At 37.7% G+C, this 15,557-nt stretch overlaps 1 protein-coding gene across 52 annotated transcripts in view, besides 1 other annotated feature; it reads left to right on the top strand.

Moving 5' to 3' along the window:
* NRXN3 (neurexin 3) overlaps window positions 1–15,557 on the top strand; it is a 1,697,919-nt gene that overhangs the window by 1,031,820 nt on the left and 650,542 nt on the right. The gene's annotated exons all lie outside the window — the stretch shown is intronic.
* Window positions 1,175–1,344: an enhancer, noted in NCBI's record as "experimental_37233 CRE fragment used in MPRA reporter constructs". NCBI's record gives its function as "activates a minimal promoter by MPRAs in K562 erythroleukemia cells, with activity observed for the non-introgressed 14:79669795 variant allele {active_cell/tissue: K562}" and the evidence as "EXISTENCE:reporter gene assay evidence [ECO:0000049][PMID:34662402]".

Consider the following 15,557-nt stretch of genomic DNA (forward strand, 5'->3'; position numbering starts at 1 on the left):
TCAGGAGGCTCAGTTTTATACATTTCCTTGGGGGAAAAATGTGTGTAGGAAGAGTTGGGGGGTAGGCAGAAGAATGATTGCTCTCATATTGTCTTTGTTCCATACCTGAGAAAATAAGGATTATTAGTGTGAAGTATAATAGGCATATCCTTGTTTTGTGGGAGAATATACACCTTTTTTAAGGTATTAAGATTATTTTTTTCTGTAAGTTATTGGGGGTACAGGTGGCATTCGGTTACATGAGTAAGTTCTTTAGTTGTGGTTTGTGAGATTTTGGTGCACCCATTCCCCAAGCAGTATACACTGTACCATATTTGTAGTCTTTTATCCCTCACCCTCCTACGACTCTTCCCCCAAAGTCCCCAAAGCCCACTGTGTCACTGTAATACCTTTGCGTCCTCATAGCTTAGTTCCCACATATCAGTGAGAACATACGATGTTTGGTTTTCCAACCTGAGTTACGTCATTTAGAATAATAGTCTCCAAACTCATCCAGGTCACTTCAAATGCTGTGAATTCATTCCTTTTTATGGCTGAGTAGTATTCCATCATATATATATACCACAGTTTCTTTATCCACTCATTGATTAATGGGCATTTGGGTTGGTTCCACAATTTTTGCAATTGTGAGTTGTACTGCTATAAACATGTGTGTGCAAGAATCTTTTTCATATAATGACTTCTTTTGCTCCGGGTAGATACCCAGTAGTGGCATTGCTGGGTCAAAATGTTGTTCTACTTTTAATTCTTTAAGGAATCTCCACACTAGTATACATTCCCTCCAGCAGTGTAGAACTTCCCCCTGTTCACCGCATCCATGCCAACATCTACTGTTTTTTGATTTTTTGATTATGGCCATTCTGGTGTCCATTATCTTTTACCAGAAAACTCCTCCTGTTGAAATGGAATCTTTCTTCCCATACCTTTCCTTTATTGGTCTAATTTCACTGCCTGGAGGAAGATGGAGATTATTTTCTACAGAGCAGACTCTGGATCTGAAGACAGCCTTCAAACTCCTCCAGAAATTGTTTCTTCAGGATTAATATTCTCTCCTTAAATTGCTACATATGACATTTTTCATTTGTTTAGCTTTGCAAAACTTGCCTATTCAAAAAAGGATATTAGATAGTTCACAGAGATATACACAACAGACAAGCAAGATAATATATATACCTCCAGGTTTTGTGGCATCAATAGATTTGATAAACATACTTTGTGTCTTCATTAGAGCAGTAGATAAATGAATTAGGGCTGTACAGAGTATAAATCCCTGCGGCACACCCCTACATATGCCCCATCTAGAATTTCTCAAATATCCAGGCCACATCTTTCTGTCCTAGTTACAATGTTAATTGCCAATTAGCATGTTTATGTCAAGATTTCCTGTGATAGCATTTTTCTCTGGGATCTAATAACCCAGTAACCTTGGACACCAGCATTATATAGTGATATGGAGGTGGATTTTGGATTCAAAATGTGTGCTAAAGCTTTGCAATAATAGACAACTTAATTTCTGAGCTTCAGTCTCCTTGTCTAGCAGAGATAACAACAGGTACCGTGCACCTTCTTAAGGCTAGTTGTATGGATTAAATACTATATACATGTAAAATTATTAGCAGATAGTAGGTGCTTAATTATAATTGTAGACATTTGTCAAGAATGACTCATTTGGCCAATGGAGTGTTGGCAAATGTTTACTTAATAATTAATTGGCTTTCTGAGAGAAAAAGCTCTGGTTTGGAGCATTTGATGATTTCCCTGGTATAAACACTCCCACCAAAGCTTTTGAGCTACCATCATGGCATCATGAAAGGCAGAGTTGGGTAGCGATATATGCAGTCAAATGGCTCTTGGGAGACAGTGCCAGCCAGTGCCAACATCCCCCTGTGTGTGGCCCATGCTACACTCATACTCCCACTCACAAGTAAGATTGCAGCATTAATATGTGAGTAAAAAGATACAAAGAAAAAAGATTTCCATTACAAAGAGCTCCCGTCAGGTGCTGATAGTGCTTGAAAAAGAGATGGTTATTTTAGTTACATTTATAATTGTGAAGCTTCTTCTGCTTGCTCTGGTATATGGAAGTGCCAGTTATTCTTTCCAAATGTGCTTGGTTTTGTCTTTCTTTACCTCTTTCTCCCTCACCCTCCCTCTTCCAACAAATGCCTCATATGGTAACAGTTACCAAGCAAAGTAAGGGATTTTATGAAAAATTCCAAGGTTTGAGTAAAAAAATGAACACCAAAATACCCATTTTATTAGTATAGGTAGCATCCAGTTAAGAGTTGGGTATAAAAAGAAACATTTGCCTACCCAAAGAAAGCAGCATCAGAATCTTGGCATAAGAAAAATAGCATTGTTTAGTATTTGGGTGTTTACATATTCCTTGTGAGGGTGAATGTCTGAATATGCTCATTTTCATATTTTAAGTCATCATCAATTAAACATTTGTGGGTGTATTTCTTGTGGGCTGACTCCAGTGGCTGTCAGTGAAACCAAGCAGCTGTTGGGTAGATATGGAACAAAAACACCCTGAATGTTACACTCCTGATTGCTTCCCCTGGCACAGGTAGAGGTACTTATGCACAGGGAAGGAAATGAAGGGCATGCATCCAGGTTCCTTTCTAGCTGTCTCCTTAGAAATCACTGCTTTTTGGACAGTACTGAAAGTATGACACAGCTGAGACTTGGTGTATGTACACACACAGTATCATATTTGATTGTGTTGGTTGCTTCCTTCTGGCAATCCTTTGGCAGGTGGTATCACATTCTTCCCTCTAAAGAGCATTACCAACTGAGATTTCCCTTTGTGCTTAGTAAATATTTAGGCATTGTAGATTGTGTCAGCAATGATTCCTTTTATGTTTCAAAGGCTGGAAAATTTTTCTTCCTTGACACTTCACTGTTGTTGATTTGGGGAAGAGGTATGAGCCAAATGGACATTGGACAAGGAATTAAAATTTATAATTGCCGCGAATAGTAACTTTTCCTTAGCTGCTGCTTCGTACTTGAAAATGGAATGCCCTGTAGCTTGGGAACCGAATTTTATGGTGGCTCTGCTTTTGTGATATTTCATTCAATCCATTTAACAGTTAGTTGTATTTTTCAATTCTAATTAACATTGGTGTTTTTAATATATATCTTAAAACTATAATTTTTGAGCTAAGAAGCCTTACAACAGATACACCAGCAAAGATGACTAGAGGTCTACAAGAGTGCATCATAAGTAGAGCAATTTAGATGGACTTCCTTCTGAACTGCTGCCTAAAAAGTTTGTTACTCAATCTTATCACCATAGTTCAGCACAAAGTTAATGAAAATAGGGCTGTATAATTTTGTTGTAAAACATCAAGTACCTGATAATTATCATCACCATCCATCTTTATCCACCATCATCAATCACCATTATTGTATTTTTATTGCTTGGATTAATTCAGTCCTAATAGAGCATAATGGTATGGAAATTATTTAATTACATTATAAGTACACACTCTATCAAGTCAGAAATCATTTAGTCCTATGACAGAAATCCAGCAACACCACCTCCTGGTAGGATTAGCTATATATGCCTTTAAGATATATAACTTAAGCATGCAGAGGGATATATAGATTGACTGACAGCTGACTTTTCTTCTATTTCTCCATGTTGCTACACTTAATTTTGCCTCTATTTCAAGGAACTTCAAACACAGTGTTTAAAAGAATCATTTAGGCTCTCCCTGAATATACAAATTTTGGTACCTCATCATTGTAGTTCTCTGATAAGGCTCTTGGAATCCCTATTTTTGACAAGCATGCCAGATGCTTCTAATAACTTGTCTGGAAGAACATGCATGGAGGAACACACCATTCTGCCCTCATAAAAGTCATTCATTTTTCTGTCTGTTTTTGTTATATCACTGCCCAAATGGAATGTGACTATCAATACATAATAATTTCAGTTACTAATATATAAATTATTAGCATTAATTTGCATCAAGTTATACTCATCATTGGTAATTAATAATGATGATGAATGATAGCAGATGTATATATGGTGCCTACTATGCCAGACATTCTTAAAGGATTTGCACGTATTAATCCTTACAAGGGCCTTCGGAGGCAGGTAATATTATATCCCCATTCTCTAGAGGAGAAAACTCAGCTGAAGGAGGCTGGTCACTGAATCACAGAAGGAAGAGAGCAGGCTGTAGAATCAGATGGCATGGGCTCTATGTCTGCCTGTGCCACTTACTGGCTGTGTGTCAGTGACAAGGGTCCATCATCTCTTCTTGACTATAAAGAAAAACTGGGGATACAGCTGCTGTTAACTCCAGAGACAGGTGGTGAGAATTCCATGAGCTGAAGTATACAAGTATTTAAAGGCTAGCCTGAAGAGTAGGCATGCTCTAGAAATGTTAACTGTTATCACCTTTTCTTGTGACAACCCTGCCTTTCCAATACCTTTTCTAATGAGTTATTGTCAATAACATCCCAGTGCTGCTTTCTGAACTGTGACTATCTTTAGCTAGTAAGGAGTGTTTGGTGTCTCTTTTTTAGAATTTTTCTTTTCTTTTTGAACATTGAAGAGCGTTCAATTTTTAATTAATCTTAATAGGCACACATACCAATATTAGGCATAATTAATAACCTTATTATCTCATTAGAAAGGCAGAACACAATGCACATAACCAGGAAACTAACGTACAAGTCTTAGTGTTCATTACTGCTATGATATTCATTCACATGTTTAGTAGAAAAGAAAAAAAACAAAAACATTGAGCCCCTTTTCCTACCGGATCAAGTTACAGATGTTAGCCTGTTCACAAACTTTCCCACATCCAGGGGCGATGTCCCCCAGCACACCATCCCTCCCCAGCTGCTTCCTGGCCCTCTTGCCTCTGAGGCATGCTCACAAAAACCTGTGAGTTTTGAAAGTATTTTCACCTGCCAGCATCAATGAGAAATCTTCTGCAAGTCCCCTCCCCATGTTCATTTCTGTCAGTTCCTTGGGTTACGGTTCTCAGTACATAAGTGTCATTAGCTTCACCTGGGATTTTTTAATAAACGCAAATTCCTGAATACTAAATTCGGATTCAGTAGGTCTGCAATGGATCTCAGGAATCTGAGAACCCCCACCCCGCCCCAAGCGAACATGACACTTCTCTTCGAAAAACACTAGCTTCAATTGTAGAGAAAACCAAAAGTGCACATGAATGGAAATCTGGGACATAGTAAGACAAAAGAGACTGAAGTAGGAATAGCAAGCATTTCAAAGGAAAATGAGGCTGTCCCTTCTGAGGATTTCATATTAACAACTGGTGCAAGGAAAGGGAATTTGCAGCAGAGTTCAGAATAGGGGCAGTGAGGAAGTGGAGTTGAATCTGAGAACATGAATAAGGAAACCACTCTGAAGATGAGCATGTGGCATAAGGGAAATTGCCACCGGAATGTACCCTCTCTACTTCCCTAACTCCTCTCTTTACTTCTTTGGCCCGTTCTTTCTGCCACAACCTACCACTAAAGATCCTGCTTTGAATGAACCAAGGTCCCAGGGGATTGTTGCATAGGCATAAGGGTTGTTCTTGGAAGCCTCTGGGTTTGTTGATACAGAGGATCCCTATGGCTCCTTGATGATAATTCAGTTGTGAAGGTATAGTATTGAGAAACTGGTCTAAAGTTTTTATGGTATATATATTTTAAATTTTATTTAATAAATATATAAAAAGCACTGTTCTATGTGTTTTAAAAATACTAACACATTGAATCTTCTTAAGTACTTTGTGGAGTAGGTAACGTTATTATTCCAATATTACAGATGAGGAAACTAAGAAGTTAAGTAACTTGCCCAGAGGGTATAAAGAGGAAGGGACAAGGTGATTGTTCCATACTTTAAAGGAACCAGATTATCATATTTGTAGAAAGAAAGACTACATTTTGAGTCTATCCCAAAGAGTGTTATTTGAAGTAATTAGACTGTGTAGCTCTGAAAGAATTGGAACCCGCAATTCAAAACAATTTAAACTGTTCTGGAGACAAAGCTAACTCTCTGGTGGGGTTTCTTTCTTCTGATGATAAATTTGGGGGTCACTTAATCCAGGACAGTTCCTGCATTTATGGAAAATGAGCATATCGAGGTAGGATTAAAGAAGTGAATTCATTCATTAGGCTCTATGCCATCATGGTTCATTTTTTTCTAAAGCTGAGCCAAGAACATCTGTACCCCAATTTTTTATTTTCTTGGCCAAAAGGGGACAAATAACATCTCACACTAAGAACATTAAAATATTTACCAAAGGTCTTCTTTTAGCAAAGAATATTTCTTCATTGCAATGCCTCTGAACATCTTCCTGAATCAATTAATATTCATCTAAACTTTTATTTTCTATGACTAAGTAACAGTAATATTCATAATAGCAACTGACATTCAGTGAGCTCTTATTCTGTGGTCACTGTTTCAGGTGTTTTACCTATATTCTATTGTATGAAATAGCACAACTTACTCTGATTAACTCAATTTTATTGGATATAACAGTTATTTTTCAATTTCTATTATGACAAAAAATGTTTTATTAATCATATCTATAGCTAAACTATGTAAAAATGTTTGTAATTATATCCTTAGAATCAATTTTCAGAAGCAGAATTGCCAGTGTAAGAGTATACTTTAAGAAAAAAATTCAGCACATTTTACCAGTTTTCCTGCCAAGAATGTTATACCAATCTATATTCCCACCAACAATGTAGCAAGACTTTTGTGAAAAGTTTTTTTGTTTTTTTGTTTTGAGATGGAGTCTTGCTCTGTCACCCAGGCTGGAGTGCAGTGGTGTGATCTTGCCTCACTGCAACCTCCACCTCTTGGGTTCAAACGATTCTCCTGCCTCAGCCTCCCGAGTAGCTGGGACTATAGGCACGTGCCACCACACCTGGCTAATTTTTTGTGTTTTTAGTAGAGATGGGGTTTCACCATGTTAGCCAGGATGGTCTGGATCTCCTGACCTCGTGATCTACCTGACTCTGCCTCCCAAAGTGCTGGGATTATAGGCGTGAGCCACTGCGCCCGGTGTGAAAAGTTTTTAAAGTAATGAATTGCTAGTTAGCAACCTCTGAGTTTTTTAAGGTGTTGTCTAGCAGTCTTTATTAAAAAAAAAAAACAGAGGTCCAATCACCTATTTCCTTAGAAGAGGGAATCAAGGGTATATTTCAGTCTGTCTATAATGCACTGCTATGTAATTACTAGGGAAACTTCTCCAAAAGTCACAATGGGTAAAGTGTTATAAATTCTGAGTCATAAGTAAAGTTTCTACTATGTGAGAGACTCTCATTCCCTGTTGTCACTGAGATCATTAAGGTCTCAGTTCACATGTTACCTTTGAGAGAAGTTTTTCCTATTATCTTATCTAAAATAGTCTTCCCAAGGTCTATTCCATTACTCTGTCTTGTTTTCATAGCACTTACTAATTATCTTTGTTTATTACTTTATTGCTTGTCTCCCCATTATAACGTATGCTTCTGGGAGTCAGGAGCTCTTTCTTATACCAGCGATTTTATCACAAGACCTAAAAGAGTGCTTGGCACATGAAAGATGTCTATATATGATGAATCAGTGAATGAGTGATGAATGAATAAATATTGGTCCTCTTAAATCCCAAAGTCCTCTGTTTACTATTTATGCACAGCTATTAGTCTGTAGTACAACACTGTTAAGAGACAAAATATGCATATGGGGCAAAGCAATATTTGTAACTCTAAGGTACTCAACCTTGTAGATGAAGATAAGTGAGGAAGAACCAGTTATTAGAGTATCAATGGCATTGGTCATTTGGTTATAAGCGTAAGTGAATTTCCCCTTGAATTTACCCTGTGAGTTGCTATTTAATGGTGTTGGACAGTTACAGATAAGTTTGGTAGAACTTTTCTCTTTGTTTCCTTAAGGGTTTTGCCTTTGGGTAACCACCTTAATTTCTTCAGTCCCTGTCTTCCATGGATAAAGTCTTAGCAGAGCTATTAAAGATCCTAATGTCAACTTCTCTTAAGATTATATTGTCCATTAATGGGTGTTCTGAGAGATGTTATTTTGAGATCAAGTGCTAAAGATTTACAATACACACTTTAACTGGGAGAATATGCTTGTTTCACTAGGACAGATATGTTTCTCTATGGTATCCCCAGCACTTACAGTAACTGGCACGTAGGAAGCATTAAGAAAATGTTGAATAAATGAACAAGATAATCAAATTCTGTCTTGTGAAGAAACCCATTTGGGATCTATTATATGTTCTGGGTAATTCCTCTGAGCATCAGCGAGGATCTGTGCAACTAACACTCTGGTTTATATCTAATTTGAACTGCTGATTGTGGGCAGTAGAAATTATTTCAGTAGAAACTTAGCTGGCTTGAATTTATGAGATATTATTAGTCTCATTAAGAAAAATGTCTACCGACTTCTTTAGGAAGCTCATGTCTTCAGAAAGTTTCTTTGAGATTTCATATAGAATTCCTTGGTTTTAATAAACGTTCCTGACTTCTGCATATTTGCTATTGATGCAACAATGATGCTTGGATCAAAGTTACTTTGTCACTTTCTAATTCATTTATTTTAGATTACTCAGCTAGTAGAAAACAATAGAGTCACTTTGTTGCTGTAAAGTCTCTTCGTAGTATTTGGTGGGATTGTGCTATTCTTCAGTGGGCTGGTAATCCCTATAAAGCTTAGAGAAACACAGGGCTCTTTAAACGATCCTTTTTCTCTTTTCTGTTTTAAATTTCATCACTTGGTTATTTTTGCCACCTGCTTGGATTGCCTCCTTACCCAAATCTAAAATTCCTACAGTAAAATAAATAGAAAATGTGGTCGCTACTCTCCTTCAAAATAATATTTTCATTTCTTTGGACAAGTATGTTAATTTCTTCATATGCAGTTGTCAATGGTCCAGGTTTCGGAACCAAATAGCCTAAATTTGTGTCTGGACCCCACTACCTGCTATTATTGACTTTGGGCAAACTAGTTAACCTTTCTGTGCCTCAGTTTTCTCATCTTTAAAATGGGGCTATTAAGAGTACTTCTCTGTATTGTCATTGTGAATTATGAATCAATACATAAAATGAGTTTAGAAGAATGACTGGCACTTCACAAGTGCTCAATGTTAAATTGTTTTTATTGGGAAGAAATGAAAATACTTCCTTGCTTAATGTTGGAGAAAAGAATCACTAACCCATCGCATCTCTAAGATGATGATGATAATTGCAGTTGCCATTTATTACATCCCTACTGTGTACTAGGCACTGAATTCAATGCTTTGTCCACCTTATGTAAGTGAAATCTCACAGCACAGTGAAGTATTATTATTATTCCATGTTACCAATGAGGAAACAGGAGACCCTAAAAACTGAGTTCTTTCTCTAAGGTTAAACAGCTCATAAGGGATGGAGTTCAGATGTGAATCCAGTTCTATCTGATTTTAAATCCTGTTCTCTTAATTGTTATGTCATGTCATCTCTACAGTCTTCAATAATTGAGACTTAATGTTCTTTGATTACTAACATCCAGTGGCTATTCCAAGGGAATTCAAAACCCTTGTCTTCATGACTTTCAAAAGCAACCCAAGTCCTGAAAACAACATTTTTGTGAAGTATATTAGTGTAATCCAAAACATGATAAACACTTTTTAAAGATATTTGCAGATAAGACTCCCCTACCCTCACTGTTACAGTAACAGTGTAATTTTCCCTGGTATTGCTCTGAACATTAAGGAATTAAAACACTTGAGGCTGGACTTGTCAAGAGACCTATTTTTGTTTTGTTATGTTGTAATAGCTGTTGTTTCTGATATTTTTCTTTTTCCTTCATTCTGCTTTTTCTTTCTCCAATCTTGGCTTAAAGGGCAACTTCCTGTGCATGTTCAGGAATCTGTGGCAAAGGGAACAAGTATGATAATTTGTCTGCTACCATTTGGATGTTACTATTGTCTCAGCAGCCAGGAAAACAGACAGAGCCCCTGTGAGCATCATTGTGTTTGGGCTGCGGCTTTAGTTGCCAAAGTGCAGTTTTTACTGTTGGCATTTCCACCACCTGCTATGGGCAATAACCATCGAAAGGACAAATCCCCTTGTCTGTGATTTTTCTTTCTAGGCTTCTTTGGAGAAAGACTGTGAAATGATTTATTCCTCTGTACATATGAAGCTATAGTGTATTCTCCACTGCATAGTTTTGGCCTCTGATACTCTCTGTTCTTAGGTTAATCCATTAACTTGCCTGGGGGAAAAGGGACAGGAAAGATGGATGAAGGTGTTATGAAAACAGAGATGAGAAGGATCTTAAAAAATCCCAACCACTGCCTTTTCTTCCCTGTTCCCATCTGCTCCTGAGAAGTCCTTCAGAGGATGCCAGGCCTGTTAATACCTATACTTTATACCTGTTGTTTTAAATGAGGCAGTTCTTCCTCACTATATGGATATAATAAACAGTTAAGCTGTCTTCCTCTATGCCCCTCAAAAGGAGACAAACACACAAGCCCTACACAAATGGTATCGTGCCCAAATGAGTGTTGGAAATGCTGGATAAAACAAAGGTAAGTAGGTCTTTTCATTGCAGGCCTTCTCAGAGCCTTAAAAAAAAATCCTCACTCATATTTTGAATCTCTAGGAGAGACATATAGTATACAACATTCTCCAAATTTGTTTGACCTTGGAATGCTTTTTTTTTTTTAGAAGCAACTTGAGGGACAAAAGTTCTGTAGAACACGCTTTGGAGAGTATTGGGATAGATTACTTTCATTGCATTTTTGCAATTTGGTTTATAAACTTACCTTGGAGATTGGGCAAATTGGCTGGTTAGTTTAGATACAATATATTTTTTTCGGGTTGCAATTGTATTTTTACAGTAGCTAGCAGAAGCTGTGGTTCTGAAAAGATACTATAAGAACATTATCTTGTGTTCTAGAAAATAGAAAATACTCTATTTTCTTCCCCACCTCCATTTTTCCCCTGTCTTTAGAAAAATTAAAGTATACTTAAGAAGAGGAAACAAAGTGAGTGGTAAAGGTGTATGCCTCTATAGATGGACAGGTGTGTTAGTTACATTATATCCAAGTAATGTGTAAGTGGGCCTTATTAATGAGATCCTAAGAAACTATAAAAAATGAACATACCCCAGATTTCTCTTTGTGTACACTTTGAAAGTGTTTTTCCATTTCTATTAAAAAGTTTAATTTGTCATGCTCATGAAATCAACATAAATTTATGGAGGCAGAACATAATACAGTAAAAAGACAATGTGATCCTTTTCATGTGGCATTTTTAATACATTGTATCACAAATTACTTCAAAGAAACAATTAAAAGAACAAGGAAGAACTTAGGAGGTTCTTAAAATAGTATGTAGCACATTTTAGAACTCAAGTGACAGAGCTTTCCTGATGGGCCCAAGTCCTGTCTCCTCTCACCCTTTTTTTTTGGGGGGGGGTGGCGGGAACAAAACAATAAACACCTTTATTACATGGGTGAAGACAAAACGAGGATTTATTTGCCTTTCCGGGCCTTGATCTTCCTAAGATAGAACTCCAACTCTTTGCCCTCTAGCACATAGCCATCTGCTCGGCCACATCCACACAGTTCTCTCACTCTTTCAAAATGTCAGCACCAGTTCCAGAAGGAGGGACTGGCCCTTGTGATGGCCATAATGTAAAGTGTTCACACGACCAGGTAGCATTTCCATTCTTAGAAAGCTACGCTTCTTAGAAAGCTACGCTACTTGATTCTAAGAGATCAGTCATACAGACGTGTTTTTATTCCTTTCAGAGGCAATTCATTTCATGAAAAAATGCTGAAATGAAAACACTTTATAGTTAAGCTTGGTGTAGTCATAACCACACATAGCTGTGTTCTGTCATAATTTGTAAATTGAGCTCTGTCATAATATCTATTTTTCAGGAGGCTCTCAGTTAAATTTTCTTAAAAAGTCTTTCTGATTATGAAAGTAATGCATGCATTGCCCTGTGGCATATTACATATTACTCTCTCATAGAATATATAGAGAGAAGGTGGCAGTGAGGACAATTCTGTGGTCACCTGGAAGGTTTTCCTCTGGCACAGGAAAGACAGCTGTCCTATTTCTAGTTGATAAAGTGCCTAGACTGTGCATTAGAGGCCAAACATTGAAGGAAGTCAAATTGCCTTTTTGTTGATTCTAAAGTGGTCTTTGTATCAGAAAGTAGAATCTGAAGAAATATGCTGCAAGCCAGGATGATTATAGTTAACAGTAATGTATTATGTAGTTTCAAATAGCTAGAAGGAGGATGTTGAATGTTCCCAACACAAAGAAATGATAAATATTTGAGATGATAGATAGGCCAATTACTCTGATCTGGTCACTCTATATTATATGTATCAGAACATCACTATGTGCCTGATAGATTATGTATAATCATTTGTCAATTAAAACAAATTAGAAAACAACTTACTTGTCTTTTTGCTAAATCTGGATGTGGATCCAGCTGAATATAATTTCTTCCTAGTTCTATGAATAGGATATAGGTCTTGGTTTCCATGGTGTTGTGTGACTTATACTTTTGCTTATCTTTGTCAGTACTTTTGTGGGAAGAAGATAGGGGCTCTATCAGAGGTTGTTAGCTTGGTGATGTTTTCACCCACAAATTCTTCATTTGTTCTTAGAAGTTTTCTCATTTCTTTGAACTTTCCATTAACATTCAATCTTTCACTTATATGAAAAATATTTTCCTTCCTCCTCTTTTTCCTCTTCCGTACTTTCTCCAAATTCAGGAGGCAGATAATGGTAATTGAAAGTTCTAGGGACACACTGTGAGCTCAAGGTCCAGAAAGGTTAGGGAAAGTCTTTATTTTGAACTGTAGGTATGTTTTAATTCCTTCTGGAGACTAGCACTCCTCAGGGATGCTGAGACTGGCACTGGTGCTACCGGATATTAAACAGAATGGATTTAAAGTATTCTCCTGTATTAAGAAGATTATTTTCAAAAGAAAGCTCTATTTTGTAGTTATTGTCACTTTCCTAAAGATATAACTTTCCTGGAGCTGTGGATCGCCACAATATTGATGGCCCATCCCAGCACTATTTAAAGGCAGGGCTTTGTCATATTTTTTATAATATTTGCAGCTTGGTCAAATAATATTTATTAAATGATTAAATAAATTCAACAGCACTTAGAAACAATAGAGGCAGAAAATGAAGTTGTGGAGTTGGGGTGTGTGTGTGTATATATATATAGAATTAGTACATTTTCACACTGCTGATACAACTGAGACTGGGCAATTTGCAAAAGAAAGAAGTTTAATGTACTCACAATTTCATGTGGCTGGGGAAGCCTCACAATCATGATGGAGGGTGAAAAGCACGTCTCACATGGCAGCAGACAAGAGAATGAGAGCCAAGCAAAAGTGGTCTCCTCTTATAAAACCATCAGATCTCATGAGACTTATTCACTACCATGAGAACAGTATGGGGGAAACTGCCCCCATTATTCAGTTATCTCCCACTGAGTCCCTCCCGCAACATGAGGGAATTATGGGAACTACAATTCGAGATGAGATTTGGGTGGGGACATAGACAAACCATATCATACATATACATAGGTCAGATTGGTAAAAGTTATAGAAGCAAATGTTAGAAAACTATTTTGTAAAGTTGGAAAGTAGAAACAATAAAAAAACACAATTCAAAGAGATAAGCATTTTCACTGGTGTTTTTTTCTGGTGTGATTCTTCCAGAGATTATTCTGGTTATCCATTGCTGTGTCACAGACCACTCCAAATTTAGTGGATTAAAAATGATAAATATTTTATGATGTCATAGATTCTGTGGGCCAGAAATTTGGACAGGGCACAGTGAAGATGGTGAGAACAGTTTGTCTCTGTTCCCTGATGTCTTTGATCTCAACTGGGAAGAACTGAGGAGCTAGAAGTGACTGGCATGGCTGAGACCTAGAATTACCTGGAGGCTTCTTTATTCACGTGTCTGTGTCTGAGCCTGGAATGGGATGATTTGAAGGCTGAAGTTAGCTGAGATGGTGTGGCTTTTCCATGTGGCTCAGGCTTTTCATGCATGGTGGCTGCGCTTCTGAGAGAGAAGTCCTGAGAGGAAGTATCTGGAAAGGGAGCCTTCCAAGAGAACCAGGTGGAAGCTGCATTGCCTTTTCTGACCTATCCTCTGGAGGCACACAGTTACATTTCCACCACATTTCATTGGTTACATGTGAATCAGACCAAACAGATTCAAGGGGAGAAAGAATGAGCCTCACTTCTTTGCGCAGGAGAGTCAAGGTCACATTGCAAAAGAGCGTGTTGGATGGAAGATGTTACATCTGATTTTGAAAAATATACTTCTCTACAATATTGTTTGGTCATCTTATAAAAGTAAAAAATAGTGTACCTTTATAATATTTCATTGAGAAGTGTATTAGGCACTTTATCTTGCTAATGTAAGATGGTTCACTTTAAAGTGCTCTGTGTTTGAAACATTGTCTTTCTTCACCTTTCTAAAGAACGCTCTAAGATGATATATGGCAACCAATCAATATTACTTTTTTCATTTGTGTAGCTTATTTAACTACAACTATTTAATAAATATTATAGGGACATTGTGTTATTCCATTTTGTGACCCTATAAAGGAACACCTGAGGCTCGATAATTTATAAAGAAAAGAGGTTTAGGCCAGGCACAGTGGCTCACGCCTGTAATCCCAGCACTTTGGGAGGCTGAGGTGGGTGGATCACAAGGTCAGCAGATCAAGGCCAGCCTGGCTAACATGGTGAAACCCTGTCTCTACTAAAAGTACAAAAAAATTAGCCAGGCGTGGTGGCACATGCCTGTAGTCCCAGCTACCCGGGAGGCTGAGGCTGGAGGATCGCTTGAAACCAGGAGGCAGAGGTTGCAGTGAGCTGAGATCACACCACTGCATTCCAGTCTGGGTGACAGAGCAAGACTCTGTCTCAAAAAAAAGAAAGAAAGAAAGAAAGAAAGAAAAGAGGTTTAATAGCCAAAGTTCTATAGGCTGTATAGGAAGCATAGTGTTAGCATCTGCTTAGCTTCTGGTGAGGTCTCAGGGAGGTTTTACTCATGGTGGAAGGCGAAGCAGGAACAGCACATCACATGACGAGAGCAGGAGCAAGAGGAGTAGTGGGGTGCCACACTCTCAAACAACCAGATCTCATGAATTTGCAGAGAGAACTCACTCATTACTAAGAGCAGGGCACCAAGCCATTCATGAGGGATCCATCCCCATGACCCGGACACCTCCCACCAGGCCCCATCTCCAACATAATGGATTACATTTCAACATGAGATTTGAAGGGAACAAAACATCCAAACCATATCAAATATCATAGAAGAAAAAATAAACATATGGGAACATATAAGTGAGAAAATAAGTTTGTGAATTATCAAAAAGTGGAAATAGTAATATCTAGGCAGGTTAGCATACATAAGTGATGTTCTAGTGGTTCTCAATCTTTGTGGCAGAATATAATCATCTACAGAATTCAAATCAAAACAAAACAAAAAAAACTCTGGTACCCTGCTCCCTCCCCCAGAAACACTGATTTAAC

Source organism: Homo sapiens, chromosome 14 (assembly GCF_000001405.40).
Source record: "Homo sapiens chromosome 14, GRCh38.p14 Primary Assembly".
NCBI classification, from domain to species: Eukaryota; Metazoa; Chordata; class Mammalia; order Primates; family Hominidae; genus Homo; species Homo sapiens.